Source organism: Homo sapiens, chromosome 12 (genome assembly GCF_000001405.40).
Source record: "Homo sapiens chromosome 12, GRCh38.p14 Primary Assembly".
Classification (NCBI taxonomy): Eukaryota; Metazoa; Chordata; class Mammalia; order Primates; family Hominidae; genus Homo; species Homo sapiens.
Window position 1 is genome coordinate 123,847,872 of NC_000012.12, and position 27,901 is coordinate 123,875,772.

General features: G+C 44.6%; 1 protein-coding gene across 12 annotated transcripts in view; it reads left to right on the forward strand.

Annotated features, from left to right (window-relative positions):
* The window catches only part of DNAH10 (dynein axonemal heavy chain 10), a 173,420-nt gene that overhangs the window by 85,571 nt on the left and 59,948 nt on the right, over nt 1-27,901 (forward strand). For 7 of the 12 annotated variants that reach the window (NM_001372106.1, XM_017018960.2, XM_011538016.3 and 4 more), the window contains 15 exons: nt 90-224; nt 859-1,011; nt 3,017-3,205; nt 5,335-5,481; nt 9,185-9,376; nt 11,279-11,397; nt 13,141-13,299; nt 16,724-16,859; nt 18,080-18,202; nt 19,596-19,730; nt 20,032-20,248; nt 22,495-22,614; nt 23,586-23,731; nt 25,687-25,839; nt 27,360-27,620. In NM_001372106.1, the coding sequence (NP_001359035.1) occupies nt 90-224; nt 859-1,011; nt 3,017-3,205; nt 5,335-5,481; nt 9,185-9,376; nt 11,279-11,397; nt 13,141-13,299; nt 16,724-16,859; nt 18,080-18,202; nt 19,596-19,730; nt 20,032-20,248; nt 22,495-22,614; nt 23,586-23,731; nt 25,687-25,839; nt 27,360-27,620 (2,385 nt within the window). Of the gene's footprint in view, nt 1-89; nt 225-858; nt 1,012-3,016; nt 3,206-5,334; nt 5,482-6,090; nt 6,719-9,184; nt 9,377-11,278; nt 11,398-13,140; nt 13,300-16,723; nt 16,860-18,079; nt 18,203-19,595; nt 19,731-20,031; nt 20,249-22,494; nt 22,615-23,585; nt 23,732-25,686; nt 25,840-27,359; nt 27,621-27,901 lie in introns of those variants that run through there. The other 5 variants (XM_011538014.3, XM_011538015.4, XM_011538017.4 and 2 more) reach the window with 5 other exon arrangements.

A 27,901-nucleotide genomic window follows, 5' to 3' on the forward strand; every position in this document is an offset into this window, starting at 1 on the left:
CACCTATAGTCACAGTGATGAATTTGGAAATGACACCCACTTCCTTCTGTGCACCAGAAAACATATGTTTTGCATTTGGCTTATAACAGGCGCTGTCCATGTATCTAGGTGGGGCCCCCGCCGGCCCAGCAGGAACCGGCAAAACCGAGACCACCAAGGACCTGGCGAAAGCCTTGGGCTTGCTCTGTGTTGTCACCAACTGTGGCGAAGGCATGGATTACAGGGTAAGGCCTGGCTGTCACCTTTGGTACTGGCTCATTAGGCAGAGAGCTTAAAGCAGGACATGGCATTTCACCTCCTAGTCTTTGACATGGCGACAGTGGAAGAAGCTAGTAGAAAACCTTCCACCACCACAGCCCCAGAACCTAAGTGTGTCTGCTTAAAGACCCTGCTTTGTTAGCAGGATGTAGAGCAAGAGTCCCGGATTCACTACCCTAGTAGGGTCAGGTTGATAATGTACGTGAGTAAAGCGGCCAGCAGACAAGAGAGTGGTGGGATCTGTGGCTAACTGGAGAGCAAAAGTCCATCTAAAGAGGGTGCCCGTCCAGCTTTGGTTCATAATCACCATTTGGGAAAGTGGACCCAGCATTGCTAGATTTTCCCACATTTCAAGAGAAGAGAAGAGAAATGGAGTTTTACACAAAAATCTGGATTTGTAAAATCCCAAGTAGGAGCCAGCCCATGAGGGGCCTTGGAAGTCCTGCCAGAAAAATCCACTAGTCAAGTGGCTGGTCACCTGCTTCTCTGCCAATCAGTGATCTCATTGTTTGCTTTAATTTAGAAAATATATCCATAAATGTGTTGCTTGCAGTTTTAAAGATGAAAATTGCCCTTGTCCTGACATGTCTTTCTTCCTAGGCCGTGGGGAAGATTTTCTCTGGCCTGGCACAGTGCGGGGCTTGGGGCTGCTTTGATGAGTTTAATCGAATCGATGCTTCTGTGCTCTCCGTGATCTCCTCCCAGATCCAGACGATCCGAAATGCTCTGATCCATCAGTTAACCACGTTCCAGGTGAGACACATGAAGCCCCCGGGACCATGTCCCTAGGATGGAAGTTTGCCAAGTATGGTAAGCTTCCTCTGTAGCGTCAGTTTCTGGGCCGTTGACACTCCAGACCAGGCTTCCTGTAGAAGATCTGTTGGTTTTTCCAATTGAGATGATTGGGTTTCCAAAATTATCATCATTGATGATAAGGTTTGTAATAGTCCAAGGACTTCACACTGACTCCAGACACAGAACCAATAGTTATGAATGGGCGTGGGGCAGAGTTCTCAAATAAGTGATGTGCAGGGTCCCCTAGAAAGGAAACAATATTCTTGGCGACTTCCCAAGTTTGAGAAAACCTGACTTAGAAAGCGAATGTTCCTTGCAATCATTATCACAGTGAACAAGAAATTTTGCCTTCATACCTTGTGAAGTTACGGCATCATAACAAGCAGGATTTGCAAGGTTATCAAAGTGAGAAGGCAGAATTTTAAAACAATTGTTGAGAATTCACCAATTTCTCTCTGCCAAAGAATATGTTTGCAGACTTGAGTTTGAGAAGTCTGCATTAAATTACACCAGATTAAGCTGGATCCAAATTTGGAGAAACATGATCTTATTATGTAATCTAGGTGGCCCAGAAGGGGATTCTCTGAAAACACAGGACCAGCGTGGGTGGGCCATTTCCCTACACCGGGGTCTTCTGGGTCCCTTGCTGTCCTTCTGCCTCTGTCCTCCCCCCTCCATGCCCTGCACACTTGTCACTAAGCCACTTGCTCCACAGTCATACCATGCCTTGTGACACCACATGTGTCCCCATCTGAGTGGAATTGTCCCTTCTTCCCTTCACTGGAAAACTCCTATACATCCTTTAGAGCCCCATTCCAGGATGAAAATTCAGCTTGAGCTGGTGGCCCTGTCATCTCACATGCGTCCTCCTCAGATCTTGGCAGGGCTCACTGTTAAGAGATTGTGTCAGCTGGAGACTGTTCAATATTTTCAGGATTCCAGTAAAGGGTCTGGATAGATTTCCCTTTGATGAGTTCTTTTGAGGGATTTTTGGGGCTGAGCTGACTGCTCCCGAGAGAGGGAATTAACCTGCAATGTATATAGATTTCCAGAAGCTGTGTTTCTCAGAGCCAGGAGGCAGCAGCTATCTGCTCTTCCCCCTGGGCCATCTGGGCCATCTGGGCCTCTTGTGGGATACTGAGGCTAGGGATGGTCTCAGGGCCGACCTATGAGTCAAGGCAGTGGCCTTGTTTTGGGGGAGGCTGGCTGTCTTCCGGGCTGCCCTCTCGTTGGTGATGCAGACTGTGCCTCCTAACAACAAAAATTTTCTGTCCTCTGCCTGGCTGGTGGACAATCAAAAAAAATAAAATAGAAAACTTCACCGAGAGACGACCGGACTCAACCTTCAGCTAAAAAGGCTAAGAATATAGGGATTTCCGTGGTTTGTTGGTACCTGGGGCAACCAGAGGAATGAAGACTGGTTTCTTGAGGGGTTTGAGGTGGGATTCTTTAGGCAGGAGTGACTGCATGAAGTCCAGGCACCCGCAGAAGGTGCAAAGCCAGGTGAGAGGAATGGAAGCCGGCGCTGTGTGAGGTGGTGGGCTGGGCGCTCCCAACCTGGGCTGTCTCCTTTCATCGCCACAGCCGTGCCACGAGGTGGGTTGCATTTCTGTTGTGCAGAAAAATAAACTGAGACTCAGAGAGGTTAAGTGACCTGCTGAGGGTCACACAGCTTCTTGTATCAGCCCCAGACTCTGTGCTTCGCCAACCTGGGCCCCTTCTCCAAGGTAGTGCCCTGGGTTCAGGTCTGAGTTTGGGGTTCCACTGAGACCTGCCCTCCCCAAGGCCTTCAGCGAGGGGGGCCCTGCATTGAACACCGGGGAGGGAAAAAGAGACAAGTGGTGTTGTCAGCCTCATACCATGAAAATGAATCGCCACGCAGCTCGCCGCAGGCCCCCTTTCCAAGGGGCTGGCCGGCCGGGCCACCTAACTGCTTCTTTCTTTCTTCCTTCTTGCCCTCCAGTTTGAAGGGCAGGAGATTTCCCTGGACTCCCGCATGGGCATCTTCATCACCATGAACCCCGGCTACGCAGGCCGCACGGAGCTGCCCGAGTCGGTGAAGGCGCTGTTCAGGCCTGTGGTCGTGATCGTGCCCGACCTGCAGCAGATCTGTGAGATCATGCTCTTCTCTGAGGGCTTCCTGGAGGCCAAGGTGGGGGGCCTTGGCAGCGCCAGGTCGTGCAGTGCAGACTTCACCCGGGTCTGCTTCCAGACTGGGGACCTAGGACGCGTTAGCTCCGTGTGGCTCTTCCAGACGGGACCTAGGATGTGTCAGCTCCATGTGGCTCTTCCAGATGGGACCTAGGATGTGTTAGCTCCGTGTGGCTCTTCCAGACGGGACCTAGGATGTGTTAGTTCCATGTGGGTCTTCCAGACTGGGGACCTAGGATGTGTTAGCTCCATGTGGCTCTTCCAGACTGGGGACCTAGGATGTGTCAGCTCCATGTGGCTCTTCCAGACTGGGGACCTAGGATGTGTCAGCTCCGTGTGGCTCTTTGATTTTTGTTTTTTTTTTCTGCTGTGTCTCTCTTCTTCCTCCCCCACCTCTTTTTAAATTATAACTTTTAATTTTGGAATAATGTAAGATGCACAAGAGGTTGCAACAATAGTAGCACGGACTTTCCAGGTGCCCCTTCCCCATGAGAACATCTCACATAGCCACAGTCCATTGCCCAAACCAGGGAGTTGGTGTTGGCACAAGTGCCATTAACTCAGGTGTAGACGTTGTGTGGATTTCACCAGGTTTCACATTCTCTCTATGGCGTGTGCGTGTAGTTAGTTCTATGACGTTTTATCACATGTGGATGGGAGTGGCCGTCACCACATCAGGATACAGAACTATTCCATCACCACGACCACAAAGAAGAGAGACAGGGTCTTACTCTGTCACCCAGGCTGGAGTGCAGTGGTGGGATCACAGCTCACTGCAGCCTCAAACTCCTGGGCTCAAGTGATCTTCCTGCCTCAGCCTCCTGAGTATTTGGGACCACAGGCAGATGCCATCACACCTGGCTAATCTTGCTTATTTTTTGTAGAGACAGGGTCTCTACAGCCCAGGCTGGTCTCGAACTTCTGGGCTCCAGTAATCCTCCCACCTCAGCCTCCCGAGTAGCTGGGACTACAGGTTGTGCCACTGCACCCAGCCTCATGTTACTGCTTACTAGACACATTCTCCCCTCAACCCTAACTCCTGCAACCCCTGATCTATTCTTCAGTCAGTGTAATTTTGTCACTTTGAGAATGTTCTCTACCTGGAGACATGTAGTATGGAACCCTTTGAGACGGGCTTCTTTCACTCAGCACAATGCCTTTGAGAATATGTAGATTCAAAAACAACTTTATGGATAACTTTTATCCTCTTTTAAGCTATCTATAAAATGTACATACGTAAGATCTTTCCAGAAGCTCTGGAAAAGTTACAAAATAGAGAATACTTTTAACATAGAGGGTTGTCACATTGCGTTTCTGCAATATGTCTTTTATTGAAAGCTCTTGGTGCCTATTACCGTGTCAGGATTTTGAGTTGGCACGATGAGATCTCTTGTTCCTAGTTTTCACGACTAAAATTGCCACACTTGCCTTAGAGACCTGTGGGTTTTGAACCCTTGCCATAGATGAGGTGGCTGACTTGTCCTCAAAGACATTTACAGCCTTTTTTTTTTTTTTGAGATGGAATCTTGCTCTGTCACCCAGGTTGGAGTGCAGTGGTGTGATCTCAGCTCACTGCAACCTCTGTCTCCCAGGTTCAAGCGGATTCTCCTGCCTCAGCCTCCCAAGTAGCTGGGATTATAGGCATGCGCCACCACGCCTGGCTAATTTTTATATTTTTAGTAGAGACAGGGTTTCACCATGTTGGCTAGGCTGGTCTTGAACTCTTGACCTCAGGTGATCCACCCACCTTGGCGTCCCAAAGTGCTGGGATTACAGGCATGAACAACTATGCTTGGCCCAGTTACAGCCTTAATAATAGGTTTAGGTCAAAATAAAGAAGCAATGTATTTCTGGAGTGTGATTCCTACAGATGGTTCTGTTCTTTAAATTAAGATAGTGAAGATTTTGGTAACACAGATGTTTCTTCAAATTAGTTCCCAATTTGCCATATTTAAAAATGAAGGACCCACCCTGGTATTTCTGGAAGTTAGAGATGGAATTTGCTTATTTGTAGAGCAGCTGCACTGGAACACCTGCCCCCGTTTTCTTGCATTTGTAGAATGATGCTCCATTGCTTTTGAATCATTTTCTTTTTTCTTTTTTTTTGTATTATTATCTTCTATCAAAAAGACTCTGGCGAAAAAGATGACGGTTCTGTATAAGCTGGCCCGGGAGCAGCTGTCCAAGCAGTATCACTATGATTTTGGACTCAGAGCCCTGAAATCGGTGCTGGTCATGGCTGGTGAGCTGAAGAGAGGCTCCTCTGACCTTAGGGAGGTAGGGGCCACGTGCTGGAACATTCTCTGGTTTCAGCTGCTTCAGGCATTTACTACGTGCCATTGGGGAGGTGATGGGCACAGTATGGTATCACCTGAAAGGTTTAAGTCTTAGCTGCCTCTTCACCCCGCGGTCTGGCCTTACTTTGGCCTCTTACCTGTTGTATCGTTTGCTTGTAATTACACTTAGTACCTTAAGGTCAAGTGCAATGTCTTCGCTCCAATAGCAACATTTATGATGCTTCCATAGTAATAATCTGTAGTCTCAGGATGGGTGTGGCGGAAGGGTGGGGACTAACAAAATTCTCATGAAAGCATGAAGGTGAGTTGTTATTTTCTCTTTGAAACAAAAGAGGGGAACAATTGTGTTTTTTTTACATGGACTTTAAATAAAAGGTTTAGTCAATGTTCTGTGGGCAACAGGCTTACCTGTTTCTCTAGTGACTGTACTCAATGTTGCACGCACACACGCACGCACACACACGCACACGCACGGACACACGCACGCGCACACACACACGGATACATGCACGCGCACACACGTACGCACGCACATGTACACATACGCACACGCACGCACACGCACACGCACACACACACACATTTGGGTAGTAAAAAAAAAACAGCCGTGAGTGCAGTGATAGAAGCCTGTTTGTGTCCATAGGAGGAGAGGCTGCCACAAATCGCTTCATTCTTTTGGGATTTTCACACATTTGGGTTTTTTTTTTTTTTTTTTTTGGAGGGGTCGAAGGAAGAGTTATTTATGCTCTTACAAAAAAGGAAGCTGTAAAATGTAAAACACTATAAAGTCAGATGGAGCTGCATTCGTCATTTGTACTTCTTTTTTCTTAGGAGAAAGGAGTTATATGGAAACTTCTTTCATTTTCTCCCCTGCTCCTCTATGTCCAAAGTTGAAGGGCGATCATGCTATTGAGTGGGTCATATCTTCTGAACTGAAAAACCACCGATGCCACTTTCAGTCTTAGCAACAGGGAAAACAGTCTCAAGTGCTATCTAAGGCTCTACGAAGAAGAGTGAGGCCGTTTGCAGCAGTCTCTCCTCCTAGGGCGGTGAATATGGTCCCATCACTGCACTCACTACTGGCTTGTTTTCTTTTACTGCCTTACACTGAACCCAAGCATGCATTCATAGGCTCAACTGCTGCACAATCTGGTACTTCCTTAGAAGAATGAAAACACATTGCAAATACCGAATATCCAAGGACTTCCGAGAAAGAGGTAAAAAACAGCCTCCTTTTCTAGGAGGAAAATCCCTCTTCTCATCCAGCAATGTGGACTTACACATGTAAAACTGTGTTTGTACAGAGACTGCGATGGTTTCTTCACATAGGAAATTAACTTTGCTGTATTGTCTTTGGGCTTCTTTATCACATTAAAAGTTTGCAAGCTTGGACCTTTGTTCTTATTCAGTAAATCTATGTCACAGGATGAGTGAGGATTTAGCATCTTTTGCTTCAAATTAGAACCACATATTTGGAATTTACTGCTGCAGTTCTCAGCTGCGCTTATCATGACAGTGGTGGAAACTGGAGGACATTAAAAAGCCCATGAAGTCAGCTGTACTTGCCATTTATTTAGTCTTGTTTGGAATAAAAGGTAAAGAATTCACAAATACCACCACCTCAGCACCTGTTTCAAAGGAAACATCAGGCTTCAGCTTGCAACATGATGTCGTTACAATTAAGCAAATAGCAGAAGCCCCCGTCAGTTGCTTCCTTCTTCTGGAGAAGGCGGGGAACTGCAATCCCCGGGGCTCCTGTGTTGAGTCTGGGAGGCAGAACAAAAGGAAAAGTGGCCTTTTCCACTCCACATCCTGGAGGTAATGGGTAGAGAAGACATACCCACATTTCCAGATAGTGAACGCTGAGTAGAGAAGCAGGACTACCTGTCCTAGGAGACAACATAGAGACGCTTGCCAGGTCCTGAGTTCAGAATTTTGTTTTTGAGATTTATATAAAAGCACCTAAGGCTGGGCGCAGTGGCTCATGCCTGTAATCCTAGCACTTTCGGAGGCTGAGGTGGGAGGATTGCTTGAGGCCAGAAGTTTGAGACCAGCCTAGGCAACATGGCAAAACCCCATTTCTTTCCAAACAAATACCCAAAACTAAAAAATTTAGCTGGCTGTGGTGGCACACTTCTATAGTCCCAGCTACTTAGGAGGCTGAAGTAGGAGGATTGCTTGAACCTGGGAGGTGGAGGCTGCAATGAGCCGAGATGGCACTATTACACTCCAGCCTGGGTGACAGAGCGAGACCCTGTCTCAAAAAAAAAAAAAAAATAATAATAAAAAGTATATATATATATATGCGCACCTAAAGGTCAAAGTAAATGTTCTTCCTGTAATAAGGAACCTTTGCTTTAGCGTAGATGGCCATACCCCTCTGTAAGGTGGGGAGGAGGAAGTTTCTGCTCCTTCCCTCTGGCCGAGATCTGTTTTCTTCTCCTTGCACGGCCCACCAGGACACTCAGCCTCCTAGGAGCAGGCCCACCCTGGCCTCACTCCTCTGCCTGTGCTCCTATTTTATATTTTATTTAATTTTTACATTTATATACAATTTTGTATTGTATATTTCACTTTTATATATTTTATTTTACATTTTTATTTTCATATGAAACTTTGAAAAATGCATATTTACATTTATATTATTTATATGATCATTATTAAATATGAAATATGAAATTTCATATATTCATATTACACATAATATCTTATACATATTTTATACTATATAATATACATAACATTTTATATACATTTATAAATTTATATAATTTATAAATAATACAAATATAATTAATTTATATGAATGATATAAAATATATAAATTTTATAAAATTTAATTTATATAAAATTGTAATATATGTATATAATTTATATATAATTTTATATTTCATTTTAAATTTTATATTTCATTTAAATATATATGTATGTGTATATATATGTGTGTGTGTGTGTATATCTATCTATCTATCTATCTTTTTTTCGAGACAGAGTTTCACTCTTGTCACGCCAGGAGTACGATGGCGCAATCTCAGTTCACTGCAACCTCCACCTCCTGGGTTCAAGCGATTCTCCTGCCTCAGCCTCCCGAGTAGCTGGGATTACAGGCACCTGCCGCCACACCCAGCTAATTTTTGTGTTTTTAGTAGAGATGTGATTTCACCATGTCGGCCAGGCTGATCTCGAACTCCTCAGGTTATCCACCCACCTCAGCCTCCCAAAGTGCTGGAATTACAGGCATGAGCCACTGCACCCGGCCATATATGTGTATATTATATAATATGAAGTACATATTATATGAAATATATGAAATATATATTTTATATTTTATGTTTAATCTCATGTAAACTATTTTATATAATTTATATTTATTTACATATTAATATAAAATAAAAAATAAAATTATATAATTTCTGTATATAAAAATATATAATACATATATTCAGAAATTATATAATTTTAAATTAATTTCTGTAATTTAAATTTAAATTAATTTAAATTAATTTCTGTAATTTAAAATTATGTAATTTTAAATGTGTATAAAATTGTTAAAAATAATAAAATGTTTATATAAAAATTATATTTTATATTTCATAAGAGTGTTACCACTGGGTTGGAAACACAGTCCAAAGCACTGGGTTCCTTTGGAAATCTCTTGGAAACATGTGTTTCATTTCCTGCAGGACGTGGTGCTGATGAGGGCCTTGCGAGACATGAACTTGCCCAAATTTGTGTTTGAAGATGTTCCTCTTTTCCTTGGTTTGATTTCGGATCTGTTTCCTGGGCTGGACTGCCCTCGCGTCCGCTACCCTGACTTCAACGATGCGGTAGAGCAGGTCCTGGAGGAGAACGGCTACGCGGTCCTACCCATCCAGGTAAAGCCAGGAAAATGACCTCACTGTGGCCGTGCATCCTTTCCATTGGCTTTTTGTTTTTGCAGTTCTTTAAAAATATATGTACAGTAAAATACGCATAAGTTTCACCATCTTAACCATTTTTCCCCATTTTTAAATCACAGTAAAATACACATAACAATATTTACCATCTTACCTACTTTTAAATGTAGAGTTTGTTAGGCCGGGCACAGTGGCTTACGCCTGTAATCCCAGCACTTCGGGAGGCTGAGGCGGGTGGATCACGAGGTCAAGAGATTGAGATCATCCTGGCCAACGTGGAGAAACCCCATCTCTACTAAAAATACAAAAATTAGCCGGGCGTGGTGGCGCTCGCCTGTAGTCTCAGCTTCTTGGGAGGCTGAGGCGAGAGAATTGCTGGAACGCGCGAGGTGGAGGTTGCAGTGAGCCAAGATCGTGCCACTGCACTCCAGCCTGGTGAGAGAGCGAGACTCCGTCTCAAAAAATAAAAGAAAAAAGAAAAAATGTAGAGTTTGTTGGTGCTAAGTACATTCACATTACTGTGCAACCATCAGCATTATCCATCTCTGGAACGTTTTCATATTGCAAAACTAAAACCCTACACCCGTTAACAGCTTACCTTCTCCCCTCCCTCCGCTGGCAACCTCTGCTCGACTTCCTGTCTCTACAAATTTGACTACTCTAGGTACCTCCTGTAAGTAGAATCATGTAATTTTTGTCCTTTTGTGTCTGGCTTATTTCACTAACAGTGTTTTCAACATTTATCCATGTTGTGGCATGTGTCAGAATTTCTTCCTTTTTAAGGCTAAATTTTATATATATAGTTTTTTTTCACACAATGTGATCAGGTGACTCAAATATTTTGTTTTGAGGCATCAACCATCAGAGGTTCTTTCCTCACCTCACCTTTTTTTTCTCCTGAGTCACACTTAAAAAAAAATTAAATTAGATATTGCAGGGATAGGATTTGGATCCTCTGAAGCCTGTAAGTTGTATATGTTGTCATTAAGCCAAACACGTATTGATTGGCAGAGTCCTGCTGAGAGTGTAAATGCCCAGAGCCTCCAGACCTGGGGGGTTGCCTCGGGTCGGGCAGCTTCAGGGTGTCAGGCTACCCCGGAGACCTCAGGCCTGGGCAGTGGGCACCGGGTACCGGCCGTGGACGAGAGCTTTCTGTGCTTTTCCTGACCCTGATTTTCTCTGGAGTTGGTTGTTGAAAAAGATGTGTTTTCTGGAAGGAATATAAAATGGTGCAGCCACTTTGGAAAACAGCCTGGCAGTTCCTCAACAGGTTAAACCGAGAGTTACCATAAGACCCAGCAATTTCACTGCTGGGGATCTACCCAAGAATGAGGACGAACGTCCGCTCAGAATTGTTCATGAATGTCCGGAGCAGCATTATTCATAATAGCCAAAAAGTGGGAACAACCCAACATCCATCAGTTGATGGATCCACTGCTGAAACAGAATGTGGTCTGTCCATCCCATGGGATATATTTTGGCCATAGAAAGGAATGCAGCACGCGTGCTACAACATGGATGAGCTTTGAAAACATGCTAAGCGAAAGAAGCCAGATGTGAGAGATCACACATTCTAGGATCCCATTTCCATGAAATGCCCAGAATACGCAAATCCGTAGAGACAGGAAGTAGATGAGTGGTTGCCAGGGGCTGGGGGAAAGGGGATTGGGAGAGATGGGTACAGGGTTTTTTGTGGGGAGGGGTGATAAAAATGTTCTAAAATTGCTCATGGGGATGGTTGCACAACTCTGTGAATATACTGGAAACCATTGACTTGTACCCTTTCAAAGGTAAATTGTATGGCGTGTGTGTTGTATCGCAATAAAACTGCGTCAGAAAAAAGATAATGTTTTAGCCCAGCTGCCATTGTTTGTCCCGCAGGTGGATAAAGTGGTTCAAATGTTCGAGACCATGTTAACCCGCCACACGACGATGGTGGTGGGGCCCACCAGAGGGGGCAAGTCCGTCGTCATTAACACTCTGTGTCAGGCCCAGACCAAGTGAGTATGACCTCCGTAGGGAGGGCCTGGCTGCCACAGGGGCTCACAGTATATGTTTGGTGCCAGTATTACCAAGTCCCACTTTGCTCTCTGATTTCCTGGGAGGGTAAATTTGTAATACACACCCCTTTCGACTCAGCGTGTTTTTACTGACTTTATTGCAGACTTAGTTAAGATATTTTAGAATGCAAAATAGCAACCCGCTTGTGCATCAGATGGTGAATAGGTTCATTTGTGAAATGAGAATTTCACAAACTATCTTATAAGGATATTTTGAAAATGAATGTAAGTCATAGTTTCTTGGGGTCCAAATTGCTTCCTTAAAGTAAGTCAGGATTCACCTTATGCAGTACTGCTGTGGTTTCGCAGTGGCCAGAAAACGAATGTCACCTCCCCGGGTGCCTTATAATCGCTAGCCCTTCGGGGGCAATTCTTCACGAAGGAAAAAGTGATCGTACACTCCCACATTGAAGATCGTAAAGGAGCCAGGCATGGTGGCTCACGCCTGTAATCCCAGCACTTTGGGAGGCCTGGGTGGGAGGATCCCATAGTCCAGGATTTTGAGAACAGCCTGGGCAACATAATGAGACTCCGTCTCCACATTAAAAAAAAATTAGCTGGGTGTGGTGATGTGCACCTGTAGTACAGCTACTCAGGAGGCTAAGGAGGGAGGATTGCTTGAGCCCAAGAATTTGAGGCTGCAGTGGGCTAGGATTGTGCCACTGCACACCAGCCTGGGCAACAGAGTGAGACCTTCTCTCTAAAAAAAAAAAAAAAGGAGAGTATGTCATAAAAGCCTGCAGTGAATTGAAAGCCTTCTACTGAAAGTGGATTCCTGACTCCTCACTTCTCTTCTAAGCAATAACTAGATTCCAGAAAGACCTCCGTGGATGCTGATAGCCCGGCAAAAATCTAAATCAAGCCAAAGTTTCTGTGACTTAAACATTTCTAGGCAGTCTATAAAATCTAAAGAGTAAGTGTCTGTCATATGTTCCCATTATTTCTTCATATGTTTCATATGAGAAAACCAGTCGACAGTGGCTTACTGACTCTAAGTGGGCTGTGCCGTGGCCATCTGCATTTCATTCTTTAATTCATTCATTGTAAGTTTATAGAACTATCACACAGTTGTATGCATGTGTAATATAGCATGTACATTATGATTTACTGATTCGTTGGTTGTGAACTGTGGAGTGTGTGAAGTTTTGTTCTCTATAGATGAATTAATCCTATAGTTAGTGCTGCAGGGATTTACAGGCACTGTGGTGAGAAATGCCCTGTCTGCTTGATTCATGAAGTCAACAGAGCAGCTGTTGTTCTGTAGATAAGGAGGATTGAACATTAGTAGTCCAAAGCCTTGTTATTATCGTGGATGACTGAGTGTGGTCTCCTATACGCCCTTAATTCTGAGATATTTACTTAAATGTCATATATATGAATATGTAATATGCATAAATATGAAATATACATGAAAGTTAGCTTCTTGGTGCCCTCCAGAGGCAAAGCTGTGCTTCTAGTTCAGACTTCATTTGTGCTGTGGCCACATTTTTGGTGAAATGTGGTTGCTTTATATTTAGAAGAAAGCACTAACAGTGAAGGGAAGCCCAGTGAAGAGTTTGCATGGGTTGCATTTTCAATTTTGGATTAAAGTCAAAACATCTAATTCCTCATAGAGGGAACCCAGACTGTTTTCCTCATGCATTTAGTTGTCTTGAACCATGGCTAAAGCCTCTCTTGATTTAGGCTTGGGCTGACGACAAAGTTGTACATCCTGAACCCCAAAGCCGTGAGTGTCATAGAACTCTACGGCATCCTGGACCCAACCACCCGAGACTGGACAGATGGGGTGTTGTCAAACATCTTCAGGGAAATCAACAAGCCAACAGACAAGAAGGAGCGAAAGTGAGTATCTTTGTAGGTAGGAAAGAGCCTGGGTTAGTTAATGTTAATTAGCTCAACATTAAAAACGGTGGCAGGACTATACATTGTAGCTTCATGCTTGGATTTCAACAGACTTAGAGTCCAGTCTTGGAGGCTGTGCTTCGGAAGTGCGCAGTCCAATCTTAGTGCTTTTTATGTGTGACCTCAGTTGTCTTAGTGATGCAATGTGGTAGGTACCGGGATTGTTCCCAGCTTACCACAGAGGAAACTGAGGCCTAGAAAAGGTCAGAAATGTGGCCCAAGGCCAGGGATTTGGCCCTGATCTGTGTGACTCTAAGTTCTCAAACACAGCCGCCATCAAGCTGCCTGATCACCACGTTCTATGGCAAGGTAAGTCAAGGAAAGGTAGCAAAGGGCCATGGAAAGTGCAGGAATGCCCTCCTGAGCCACGGCTTTCCATCTGTAGACGTGGTTGATGGTGCCCTGATGACATCACCACATGCCATGGCAAAGGCCAAGTGAGGCCAAGTACAGAAATGCTCTGAGGGTGTGTAAGGTAAAAAGCTTTTAGTTGGTCCTATAATATCTCTTTGCTAAACTCAGGAATGGTTCTGATTTTATGTTCTAATCAAATCCCATTAATAATAAATAAAATCCTTAAATAACAAGAGTCCAAAGTCCCAACTCATGGCTTTTAAAACAGCTTCTTAGCGCTTTTCCCCTGATTCTGGATGAACCCAGGATTCCACGCTGAATTCCGTTGTCTTGTTTTTGGCATTCTTTAATTTTGAGCAGTTCGTCAGGATTTCTTTATCTTTTATGACCTTCCTGTTCTGGAGGATTCCAGGCCAACCGTTTTAGAGAATGGTCTCGGTTTGGGTTTGTCCGCTGCTTCTTCATAATTAGATTCAGGCCATGGCTGTTTGACAGGAAGGCTGCAGGAGTGATGCTGTGTCCTTCTCCGCATCTCATCACGGGCACATGGTGTTGGTTGCCCTATTATGGGTGGTGTTAATCTTGATTATTGGGTTAAGGTGCCATTTTCCTCTTTGCAGTTGATATGCAACTCTAGGGAGATAACTTATGACTAAGTAAATATCCCATTTCTCATCCAACCTTCACCCATTCACCCAATGGTTTGGAGCATCTGTTGATGGTTACTTGAATCTGGTCATCCTCCTCCTCCTCCTCCTCCTTCTCCTTCTTCTTCTCCTCCTCCTCTTCCTCTTCTTGTTCTTCTTTCTTCTTTTCTTTTTTTTTGAGAGGGGTCGTGCTCTGTTGCCCAGGCTAAGTTCAGTCACATGATCACGGCTCACTGCAGCCTCAAACTCCTGGGCTCAAGCAATCCTCCCACCTCAGCCTTCCAGGTGGCTGGGACTGCAGGTGCATGTCACCATGCCCAGCTAATTTTTGCTTTTTTTTGTAGAGACAGAGTCTCCCTGTACTGCCCAGGCTTGTCTTGAACTCCTGGGCCCAAGGAATCCTCCTGCCTCAGCCAACTACAGTGCTGAGATTACAGGTGTGAGCCACCATGCCTGGCCGTTGAGTCCTTTTATAGTGAATATAAATGGAGACTTTCTATAGGGACAACTGGTGAAATTTGAATGTGGACTATACATTAGATAATAGTATTGTATCAATATTACATTTCCTGAGTTTGATAATTCTGCTGTGGTTGTGTAAGAGAAGGTGCTTATTCTTAGGAAATACTTGCTTAAGTATTTAGGGGAAGGGGGCATTTTATCTGCAATTGACTCTCAAATGATTCAGAGAGAGAGAATAAGAGAGAGTGCGAATGTGGCAAAAAAACGTAACAATTGGGGAATCTGACTGAAAGGCATATGGGAGTTCTTCATACTGTTTTATTCTCATAACTCTGTAAGTTTGAAATTATTTAAAAATAAAAAGCTAAAAGGAAAAAAATACAGGAAGGAAATAAACCAAAATGTTAATCCTGGAAAAAAAAGATCTAACTGCTTATATCAGTGAGTTAAATGGAGGCACTATCAAACCACCATTTCAGCACAGTAGAATAGCCTCTGTCCTGTGGAGATGGGCTTTGCTGCATGAGATGTCACCCATTATAGCCACAAAATGGAACCATCCTGAAGCTTGAATACCTGAGGCCTTGGACGTAGACGTGCTGCCAGGACACATGGTGTGTAACCCAGGGCTTGTGAACTCAGATGCTCCCAGGGACCCAGCAGGTAGCACAAATGAGTGAAGTGGAGCAAATTACATGGTGGTGTTAGTTTCCTAGGGCTGCCATAACAAATAACTGGGTGGCTTGAAACAACAGAGATTTATTATCTCATAGTTCTGGAGGCCAAAAGTCTAAAAAGAGGTGTGAGCAGGACTGCACTCCCTCCGAAGGCTCTAGGGCAAATCCTCACCTCTTCTGCTTCTGGTGGTTCCAGGTGTTCCTTGGCTTGTGACCACATCATTTCAAACTTTGCCTCTTTCTTGGCCTTCCCCTCTGTGTGTCTTATGTCTCCTCCTGCTTTTCTCTTATAAGGACATTTGTCATTAGATTAGGACTCATCTGTATAATCCAGAATGGTCACATCTTGAGATCCTTAATTGCGTTTGCAAAGGCCTTTCTCCAAACAAGGTCACAGTCACAGCTTCTGGGTGAACACATCTTTTGGTGGGGGGTGGGTACCATTCGACCCACTACACATGGACATCCAAAATACTTTCTTTATTCTTGACTGTACCACAGGAAACCAGGGGTTAAAACCAGTGATAAATAGCAATTGATACTCAGCCTCAGATGTAAGAGAAGAATGAGGTAGGAGTTGTGGCAGGGGCAGGGACTATGACACTTTCTGTCTTCATGGGCAGCCACTACTCAGCATCAGCTGATTGTTCCCACGAAGGAATCCAGGTCTGTGTGCTCAGAACTTCCAGCTTGCCCAAGAAGTGAGAAATTCAGATTTTTGTGTGAAGTTCCCTCATTCTTAAATATTGGCAAAGAACTCAAACTTTTTTTTCTTTTTTTTTTTTTTTTTTTTGAGACGGGGTCTTGCACTGTTGCCTGGGTGGGAGTGCAATAGTGCTATCTTGGCTCACTGCAACCTGTGCCTCCTGGGTTCATGCGATTCTCCTGCCTCAGCCTCCTGAGTAGCTGGGATTACAGGCACACACCACTATGCCTGGCTAATTTTTTGTATTTTTAGTAGAGACGGGGTTTCACTATGTTGGCCAGACTGGTCTCGAACTCCTGACCTCGCGATCCGCCCACCTTGGCCTCCCAAAGTGCTGGGATTACAGTTTTTTATGTACCATTTCAGTCAAACCTCTGGGCCAACTAGGGTGCTCTGTCTCAGATACTGGGTAGAAAACCCTGGGAAAAAGACATTCAACATGAATGGGCAGGTTATACCAAGTTCCATAATTGGAAGCTCTCTAGGACCCATGGCTCTCCTTTCTTTGGTTGCTGCAGGTATATTTTATTTGATGGTGATGTGGATGCTCTATGGGTGGAAAACATGAATTCTGTGATGGATGACAACAGGTTGTTGACATTGGCCAACGGGGAACGCATCCGGCTCCAAGCACACTGTGCCCTGCTCTTTGAGGCAAGTAGTGATTAAAAGTAAATTTGAACATAAATCTTTCTTGTAATTAAAAATGCAAATGTTTGTTAAAGTAGTAGTAAATGTAGATGATTATTTAAAAACAAACAATGCATAAGGGTTTATAATGAATACAACTCTTTGTTCTTTACTCCTCTCATCCCTCTTTATCCCAGAAGTGACTACTTTTACTTTTTATGAATTGTTTCTTCTGATGATTACCCTAGTGTCTATAAGTAACAGGCTTAGCATGATATTCTTCCTTTATACATTTTATAGTTTATACATTATCTGTTGACTGACTGCTACAAAAGTGAGAATTCATCTCTTATACCACTAACGTCAGAATAGTATATTGCTAAGTTGGTTAACAGTAGATAATGTTTACATTATAATGAAGATAGAAATAATTTACTGAAGAACCAACTAATATACTACGATTACATTTACTTTCTTTTAGAGCCATTTCCTTTGTCTAGAGTTTGTAATTGCCTTCCTTTTTTTCCCTCACACTATTTGCCTTTATTTTAATCTCATTTTTTTTTTTAAACTTTCTATCATATCAAGTATTCTGTCGAGCCCCTTTATTTCCTGGAGGCTATTCTCCAAAGCCCTCTATCTCTTAGGATATGGACTGCTCGTTTCATAGGTGTGGCCCTGGGACTTGCTTTCACTCTAGCTTAGTATTAATGCCATTTCTAACTGTAAAATTTGTCAGTGCATGAAATATTTGTACATATTATTATCTGATTAGCTGACTGAACTATATTTTTTTTGTAGAGAGAGCTAGGTTTGTTAATATATCTGGTTTAGCTTTGTACTTATGAAGTTTTATACTGCCTGATCTCAACTATGTTAAAAAAATAATAAAGAAAAAAGATTGACTGGAAAACACTCCAAAACAACATTTGTTTCTGGGTGGTGGGATTTGGATAACTTATTTTCTTCTTTATATTTTTCTATTTTTTGTCAGATATTCTACAACGTATTAATTTTCACATTAATTTTATAATAGAAAAACCAAAAAGATGTTACATCAGAAGTGTGTAATCTTCTCATCAAAATCCCAGGTGTTCAGTTAAAAAGCTCATGGAAGCTGTGTTGATTTTGGTATTATTTGGATTTCATGCAGTTGTAAAAACTTTCCATAAGAGAAGGTCCTTAAACATCTAGTTTATCTTGTGTATAGCTATAGCCATGATTGATTTTCTTTATTTATCCAGGTTGGAGATTTACAGTATGCCTCCCCTGCAACTGTCTCTCGATGTGGAATGGTTTATGTGGATCCTAAAAACTTGAAATATCGACCATACTGGAAAAAATGGGTTAATCAAATACCAAACAAGGTGAAATTTTTTTCTAAAATGAACTTAAATTTATTAGTATTGATGGCTAGTTGGATAACATAGTCCAGAGGGATGTTTGTAGTTGAAGGCGATGACTTTGTCCTTGACCTGCCCATGTCCCTGAGCACAAAATAAGTGAAAACATGGCAGACACACTTTTTTTTTTTTTTTTTTTTTTTTTTTTTTTGGAGACGGAGTCTCGCTCTGTCACCCAGGCTGGAGTGCAGTGGCGCAATCTCGGCTCACTGCAAGCTCCGCCTCCCAGGTTCATGCCATTCTCCTGCCTCAGCCTCCCGAGTAGCTGGGACTACAGGCGCCCGCCACCACGACCGGCTAATTTTTTGTATTTTTAGTAGAGGCGGGGTTTCACCGTGTTAGCCAGGATGGTCTCGATCTCTTGAGCTCGTGATCTGCCCGCCTCAGCCTCCCAAAGTGCTGGGATTACAGGCGTGAGCCACCGACACACCGACACACTTATTTAATTTCAGATAGTTTATAGCCAGTGGGATAGGTAATGATTGGATTGGTTGGTCTAGACCAGAGGTTGACAAACTTTTTCTGTAGAGGGGTAGATAGTAAATGTCTGAGGCTTTGTGTGGGCAATATGATTTCTTTCACAGCTACTCAACTCTGCTGTTGTGGCATGAAAACAGCCAGAAATTTGTATACAAATGGGCATGGCTGTGTACCAATAAACCTTTATTTACAAAACAGATGACAGGCCAGAGTGTGTGTTGTCTTAACAAAAGGCTTCTGTGAAAAGTGCAGAGATGGATGTGACAGTCACGTGCGGGTTGTGGCTCAACCACACCTAGGACGCTACGACCACCTTCTCAAAGGAACACAGGTGTTCTGGGTGTGTCTCTAGTAGGGCTACTAGGTTGGAGGTGAATGGAAACCAGGACATAATTATGCCAGAAAAGAGCAGAACAAAGGAAGAACAAAGGAAGCATGACAGAACCATCTGAGGCACTGTCCTGTGGGAGACAGCTGTCTCAGGACCCTTGCAATCCCTGGTGGTGATTGGTGCTTTGATAGGGAGGGGACCTTCACTGCTTTACAGTCTTTTCTGGATGACTGTGGTCACTTGAACTCTAAGATGATCAGCCTCTTTCCTGTCAAATGGGACCTGTTATCTTCCCTTTTTCTTCCCCAAGGGCATGGTAGACTCTGTGGCAGCGAAATGAAACACTTCATGATGAGATGAAAGCATATTGCAGAGGACAAATCTCTCTGCAAATATAGGGCACTATTATCAGGATTTCCTCACCTGCCAAATGTATCATTCATCAGAAGATGTTGCTCAACCCTCTTTGGGCAAGAAAAGCTTTCCACTAACTTCCATTTAAATAAACAAACCCTTGAAATGCTTTGGAATGCTACTTTTTTATAGGTGGAGCAATACAATTTGAATAGTCTCTTTGAGAAGTATGTGCCCTATCTCATGGATGTGATAGTGGAAGGAATTGTGGATGGAAGACAAGCAGAAAAGCTGAAGACAATAGTTCCTCAGACAGACCTCAATATGGTAAGAAATGATCCCTGCTGTTAGCAAAAAGAAATTCTTTCCTAAAGACAAGCTCACGGTAGGGTTTTAAAGGGAGTGAAGATGCCAGACAGGGTGAACAGTAGCATTGTTGGTCAGTGCCAAGGCGGGCGCCGTGCTTGCTTTTGTGCAAGTCAAGATACTGGGTTCCATCTGTCTGAACCAACATGTTGGGTCTTATGCTCCCATCGCTCTGGGACCTGGGATCCCAGGATTTATGACTGGAATGGACTCTGTGGGGGTGGACTATGTGGGCTGAACCAGATATTTTCCTGTGAACCAGGTAACCCAGTTAGCCAAGATGTTGGATGCGTTGCTAGAAGGAGAAATAGAAGACCTTGACCTGCTGGAGTGCTACTTCCTGGAGGCTTTGTACTGCTCTCTGGGAGCCTCCCTGCTTGAGGATGGAAGGATGAAATTTGACGAATATATCAAACGCCTTGCTTCTTTGTCTACTGTTGACACAGAAGGAGTTTGGGCCAACCCTGGGGAACTGCCAGGTGGGAACCGAGTGTCGCCTGTTTCCCTGCTCTGAGTGCCTTTGGTTAAATTTCTAGAGGAAGTGAATGAGCTTTTCCATATTTCTGTCTGTATGAGTTTTCCAGATTGTTTGCTTCTTTAGAGAAACATGCAATGGTCAGAGCACATGGCGGAACACCCAGGAGCGGTTCACATGCATTGACTGCTGTGACAGAAGCCCAGGCCCTCTGGGTGGTCTTTCTGGATGAGAGTCAACTTCTCTTGCCTCAGCTTAGGCACTTGCTTCCTTTGCTCTTTAAACTTTTCACATTCTGCATGACTTTGAGTTTCTTCTTCTGTGGGCTTCCCTATCTGTCTTTTTAATTTTTATTTTTAACCATCTATCTCCATTTTCACCATATCATTCATCTGCTGTATTCCTGAGTATTTGCACAGTAGACAATCAAGTGTGGATTTGTAAATCGTTCATAGGAAATCATACAATTAACATTTTATGTTTTTGCACAAAAATGTGCATCTTCAATGAATCATACATGATGAAAAAGATGCATTCTCCAAGGTCTATATGCAATGGTAGGACCCTTCTTTATCCATCTCTTATTGCTATTCGAGCATGGCTTGGAATGTAGATGGCTTTTGAAGTTGTATTTTATACTCCTTACCTGGTGGTCTTTTTAAAGTTTAAAATGAAATGGCCTCCGGTCTTTCTAATGGACAGTCATGGAGCAAATCAAAGATGTTTTTCAGGTCCCTGCTTTATTCGGTGGGAGTCTGAGTGCACTTTTCCAGAACTGAAATCTCCCTTTGGGGAGTGCTTTTCAGCTCCGCCAGCCACGCTGGCTGTGCGTTGCTGCCATCTGCAATTCCCTCACTCGGAGACAATGTTGGCCTGCTTCCCTGGCTTGTCTCCCTCATTTGCCCTCATCTTGGGGGCCTGAATGGCCCTGTGGGCATCCCATTTCCAGACACCTGCTCACAGCTTCAGCCCTGCAGGCCCTCGAGCATACGCTTGACGGTGATCTCTGGCACTGTCATGTCTGCATCACAAATCCTGCTCTCCACCTACTCTGCCTCTGAGACTCGGGCCACATGTGTTTCTGTTTGGCCTCATGGGGATGGACACTGTGTCGCCCCAGTGTCTGCTGTTGCCTCGAGCACCCATACTTGCCCCTTCCCTGCATCCTCACTTCCTTGGCTGGTGGCCTTCACTTCAGCCACTCTTGCCTGAGACCTCCGCATGCCTTGCCTAATTGCTCTGCTGAATCCCTCCGAGAAAACTCCAAGTCTGTCTTCTCTGCCTGTCTAAGGGCTGACAGGGAGAAGACCATGCAGCCACAAAGACAGATGTCTCCATAAATCCCAGTCCCCAGCTGGCACACTCACTCCTGGCTCCAAAGGAGCATTGGGCCTTTTCCCCAAATATCTACCCTGCCCTTTCCGCGCTCTCCGCAGCTGATCTTTCTCCCTGCTTCAACAGGAACAACGGAAGCTGTCTGATAGGAATCTCTCCTTCCAGCTGAAAAGCCTATAGCTCCTGTCTCTGACTTTCTCCTTTTACAGTGGAAGAGGCCACCCCCACTGCACCCCAGCCAAGGCCAACCCAGCCCCTTCCTCCTTCTCAGGCTCCTCGCTCCATCTGAGTTTATCTCTCTCTCTCATGTTCAGTCTCCGCCTCTCTACCATCCTGTCAGCTCTTAGACATGCTCAAGTAAAGCCTTGCATGGCCTGAGCGGAGGCGATGGTGATTACTCGGGCACCTGCAGCTTCCATCTCTCCCCTGCCCCGCCTGGGTTGCTGCCTTCCCGCATTGTCCGTTGTTCCTGCCCCTCTCCTGCTGCAGCACTTATGGCTCCACACTGAAATGGCCACTTCTTGCCTGTATCTGTCCCCCACCTGGCCCTCGAACAACTGCAAGGGTAGGGACCAGGGCTCTCTGCTTCACTGTTGTATTCCCAGGGAAGTGTATGTCCAGTGAAAGGGAAGTGTTAGTTGAAAATACTCAGAAAGTGCCTGACAAGTGCACAAGTCACATTAGTGACTGTCCCGTGAACTAGAAGCATAAGCTCCAAATACTTGGCATCTGTCCAGTGATGAGTAGCATTAGTTCAAGGTACTCGGTATCTGTCCAGTGAAGGAGCAGCATTGAAGTACTCACTATGGCCTCCGTGCAGTACAAGCAACATTAGTTCATTTCAAGCATGTGCCAGAACTGCTTTTGTATTTCCGTGTTTATGATTCAAGTGAAATCAACCATGATTTCCTGCAGGTCAACTTCCAACCTTGTATGACTTTCATTTTGATAACAAACGGAATCAATGGGTCCCATGGAGTAAATTAGTTCCAGAGTATATTCATGCCCCCGAGAGGAAATTCATCAACATCCTGGGTAAGTCAGAGTCAAATCCTTGTTCCTGGGTTTAGGAGTGTGTGATACTCGCTCTAGGAGGAGGCAAAGAAGATCCCATGGCTTCTCTGGTACTCTAAGTCCCACGCAGAGAGCTGGTAGAGAAGAATTGAAGAGGGTGAGCTGTGGGCCCTCCTGGGCATGGAGGGTGGCCGCTTTGGTATTTTTGTCAGCTGCTGGCTCTGAGCATCTTCCGTGGCTCTGCCTCTCAGCTCTTTCCCCAGCAGGCCGATCCCCACAGGCAGATGAGATGCCGTTTCGCCTCCCCTGGCCTTTCCCTGGGCTCTCTTCAGTCCACAGAGCTGGCTGGGTGGGGACTAGACGGCAACGAACGAGGCAGTGTTTTATAAAGGGCGCTGGCTTGAAAAGCTGTGTGCCATGGGCGTTTACCTACTGAACCACACTTAGAATGCACCCCTCTGGCTGTTCAGATAAAATATAGGCTGGCTATTCAGGTAAAATATGGGCTGAATAATTTCACAAAGCATGTGTCTGACTTTGGTCCATTGAGCTTACGGAGTGAGACATCCCTGTTTTCTCGGGAGCCCATCAGGGTTGAAACCTGCCAGTGCAAGAGGGAGCCAGACCCGATGCTGTGGCTTCACTGTCTCTTCGGAGGAAGGTGTTGCTCAGGAAGTTAAATCCCGCAGGGGTCTGAGTGATGTCAGCAACAAAGAAGCTGAGTTTTTGATATCCTGGCATAAGTCAGAATTGCATCTCAAAACCGGCTTGGGCGTTCTAACCCTGGACTGTGGTGATGGTCGCGCCGCTGCAGAACTGTGCCAAAGTCAATCAGTTATACACTTCAATGGGTGAATGTTTCTGAGGTCATGTCTTGGCCTTTGCTCCTGTTTTTTATGGGATTTGTGGGGTTCTAGGACAACTCCATGTTGCCCCCAGTGCTCACCCTATTGGAGTTGCTGAGATGCCCCTGTTCCTAATGTCTACTTTAGTTCACACAGTGGATACCACTCGGACTACCTGGATATTGGAACAAATGGTTAAAATTAAGCAACCTGTTATTTTTGTTGGTGAATCTGGCACTTCTAAGACAGCCACTACCCAGAATTTCCTCAAAAATCTGAGTGAAGAAACTAACGTAAGTCATTATTCATATGAATTATCTATTGCTGTGTAACAAATTATTCCAGTGCATAGCAGCTTCATACCACAAGCACTGTGATCTCACAGTTTCCGTGGGTCGAGAATGTGGGAGTGACTTACCTGGGAGCTTCTAGCTCAGGCTCTCATGGGATTGCAGTCAAGCTGTTGGCCAGGGCTGTAGATACCTGGAGGCCTGGGTAGAGCTGGAGGATCCTCATTTGAGATGACGTTTCACATGGCTGGAGGCTGGAGGCCTCAGTTCCTCACCATGTGGCTCTCTCCATGGATGGCTTGGGTGTGCTCAACATGGTAGAGTGAGTGCTTAAGATAGATGGCAAAGCAGATGCTATGATGTCTTTTATGACCTGGCCTTGGAAGTCACATACCCTCCCTTCTGCCCTAATCTATGGGTGAGATAGAAGCCACCCTGTACACCCTGATATAGTGTGGGAGGGACCTGCACCAGGGCATGGACACCTGGAGGTGAGTATGATCTGGGGCCCTTTTGGAGGCTGGCTGTCACATTATTCACCATCATTTTTGGGTTTCTAAAACTTTGCAAGTGTTTCCTTTCCTTCCTCCAGCCAGCTATGTGTCCAATGTGTCGGGGGTCGGATATGTACCTGGCATAGAATTCGCAGGGTGCACAGGACAAGTGATAGTGAACAAGCTGTCAAGATCTGTTCTGTAGGGATTTGCAGGCAGTGGGGGGATAAACATGGAGATGTGCACAGGGAGCATGGCAGTGTTTACAGCCAGAGGGACCTGCAGGTTTGTGGAGTCAGGCACTAGGAAGCCGCATTTGGGAGCCTCCTTCACAACACCCCTACCCCAGGACTCTGCAGCTGGTGCTCATCAGCCCAGCCAGGTACACCTGAACACAGTGGCTTTAGCAAGGTACACATTCAGCTTCAACACGTTCAGCTCATGTGCACCTGCACTTTGGGTGCCCTACGTGGAGAGAGTTATGGAAGGCAGAGGTTCGTTCTCAAAGTGTGGTCCCCAGACCGGCAGCCTTGGCATCACTGGAAACTTGTTAAAAAAATACCCTAGACCACCAGGAATGGTGGTTTGTGCCTGGTAGTCCCAGCTACTCAAGAGACTGAGGAAGAAGGGTCACTTGAGGCTGGTAATTCAAGGCTGCAGTGAGCTATGATTGTGCACCACTGCACTCCAACCTGGGCAACAGAGCAAGACCCTGTCTCCTAAAAATAGCAAAACAAAAACACCCTGATCTACCAAATTGGAAACTCTGGGGAATGGAGCCCAGCAAGGTGTGTGGCACAAACCCTGCAGGTGGAGCTGATGCATAATTAGTTAAGTGTGAGAACCACTAATCAAGGAGCTCTCGCCAGCCTAAGCATGGCAGGAGGGCCTGAGGACACATGCATGAGCATCCAGGGGGCTTCCCTCACCCTTCCTGCCGGCAGTTAGTCCCAAAGCCTGAACCACTTGTTCATGCTCTCTTTGACCTATTTAGATACAGCCAGCATGATAGTGATTTATGTTTGAATATTGTCATATTGAAAATACTGTTGGATATTGCATCTCATACGATGCAATAGCTCTATGAAGTAGTCCTAAGAGATGCCATTACGATCGTCTTACAAGTGAGAAAAACGAGGCTCTGAAAGGTTGAATGACTTTTTGGAAGTCGCCTTGCTAGAACTGTGCAGAAACAAGACCCTCAGTCTACTTTCTTGTATGCCACATTGTCCCCAAGGCTCACATGCGACAATTCGCTATTGACTCATACAATCTGCTGAAAGGAAAGAGGAACTCTTACTTTAGCACTTAGAAAATAATGAAGCACAGTCTCACACTGGGTTATTAAAAAGTTAGTTCAGAGGCCAATGGATTTGCAAAATAGTTGCTAGCTTATTTGCAAATGTTTACTGCTGCTACCCTGGGGAAAAAGCTGGCTTTTCACATCATCTCTTTCTGCTTCAGATTGTGTTAATGGTCAACTTCTCCTCCCGCACCACGTCCATGGATATCCAAAGAAATTTAGAAGCAAATGTGGAAAAGCGAACCAAAGATACTTACGGCCCACCCATGGGAAAACGCCTGCTGGTGTTCATGGATGACATGAATATGCCAAGGGTAGTTTGACGCTCAAGCAGGTGGAGGGATGGGTCAAGACAGTGCTTGTGTTTGCATGGGTGTGTGTGTGTGTTAGAAGTGAGTATGAGAACATTGATCTTTACCTCTGTGCAATGTCTGCAGGGTACAGGCTGCGGGGAGCCAGCCTAAGGCAGAATGTACCTGGGATGCTCTTCTTACACAGAGGGACCTTTCCCTGACTGATCATGTTCCTTAGTTTCTTAGAGGAGGGAAGCAGGCAGCCAGCAGCCTTTGAACTAAATTCAGCATGTATTTGAGGAAGTGGTTTCCAAAGGAGCTCTTATTTAGATAATAATACTGTTGTTGGCCCCGTGTACATGGGAGGCATCAGGACAGACCCTTCCCAAGAATTCCGCTGGACTCTTCAAGGAAGAGAAACTTCAGCTGCATTATGAGTATGTTTCTGGGATCTGAGCCTGAGAAGTGCAAAGTTTTCTTGGCATACTAGAATTTAAATTTATATTATTTCATTGAACCATTTTTTTCTGAAAGTCTATTTCCAGAAGGACTGTATGCAAAGCCAGAGTCCGTCCGTCCATCCATCCATCCATCCATCCATCCATCCATCCATCCATCCATATGTTCATTCATCTATCAGTCTGTTCTTCCATTCATCCATCCATGTGTCTGTTTTTTTCATCCACCCATCTGCTATTTACCTACCTATCTGTTCACCCATCCAACCATCCATCTGTCCATTCATTCATAGATTTGTTCATCTATCCATCTATTCTTCTTTTTGCCCATCTGTCTGTTTTTCCATCTACCTGTCCATTTATCCATCTACCCGTCCATTTATCCATCTACCCATCTGTTCATTCACCTGTCCATCCATCTACCCATCCACCCATCCATCCATCCATCCATCCATCTACCCATCCATCCATCCATCCATCCATCCATCCATTCAATGGATGGTCCAATCTGTCTGTCATTATCAATGTATGAATTAATTACCCAATGTCTTTGCTTATGTTAAATGAAGAAAGGACAAATGCTTGTCTTAAAGCTTGATGCTTTGTAAGCCCCTGAGTTGAAACAGGTGAAACCAAGAGAAGCAGAAGTGTCGATGTGTGGACAGGCATATCACACCCCCTGGGTGGCACTGCATTGTTGAATTCTTGTCTGTCCATCTGTCTGTCCATCTGCCCATCCATCAATTTGTCCATTCGTCCATCTGTCCATCCATCCATCCGTTCATTAATTGAATTAACATATATTTATTCAGCTCTTCCTATGGGACTGGTGCTGTGTAGTCAACACCTATGCAGTTCCTGCCCTCATGAAGCTGTAGTATCGTAAGGGAGACAAACTTCAAAAAACACAATCACAAATGGATATATACAGTTGCAACCTTTGAGAAGCCCCATGAAACTGAAACCGAGGTGCCCTGGAGAGTAACGGGAAAAATGAGCTTGAGCTGGGATGGTCAGCCAACGCCTCTCTGACTCCTACTTTGCGATACTACTGTTCTCTTTTCTTTTTTAAAAAAAATCAAGGTGGATGAATATGGCACGCAGCAGCCCATTGCCTTGCTGAAGCTGCTGTTGGAAAAAGGCTACTTATATGACCGTGGGAAGGAGCTGAACTGTAAAAGCATTCGAGACCTTGGCTTTATTGCTGCAATGGGAAAGGCTGGAGGAGGCCGCAATGAAGTTGACCCAAGATTTATTTCGCTATTCAGTGTCTTCAATGTGCCATTTCCTTCAGAGGAGTCTCTGCATTTAATTTATTCCTCCATCCTGAAAGGCCACACCTCGGTAACTTGATTTTAACTAGAAGTCTAAACCGGAAGACCTTGTGTTGGGGGGAAACATACACAGGGCTGACTTATCCATGTAGGCACAGCAGGGTTAGGGCCCTCAATACTTTTAAGGGCCTATGAAAATGTTTTAATTTCTTGCAAAATCAGAAGAAAAAAATCATCTTTATACGATGCCATTATAAAATGTAATTGTAATGTATTTTTATGGAGGAAGAGGTCCATGGAGGTAAAAGTGCCTTGGGCCCGTGGGAGTCCTGATGTGGCCCTGAGGTGCTC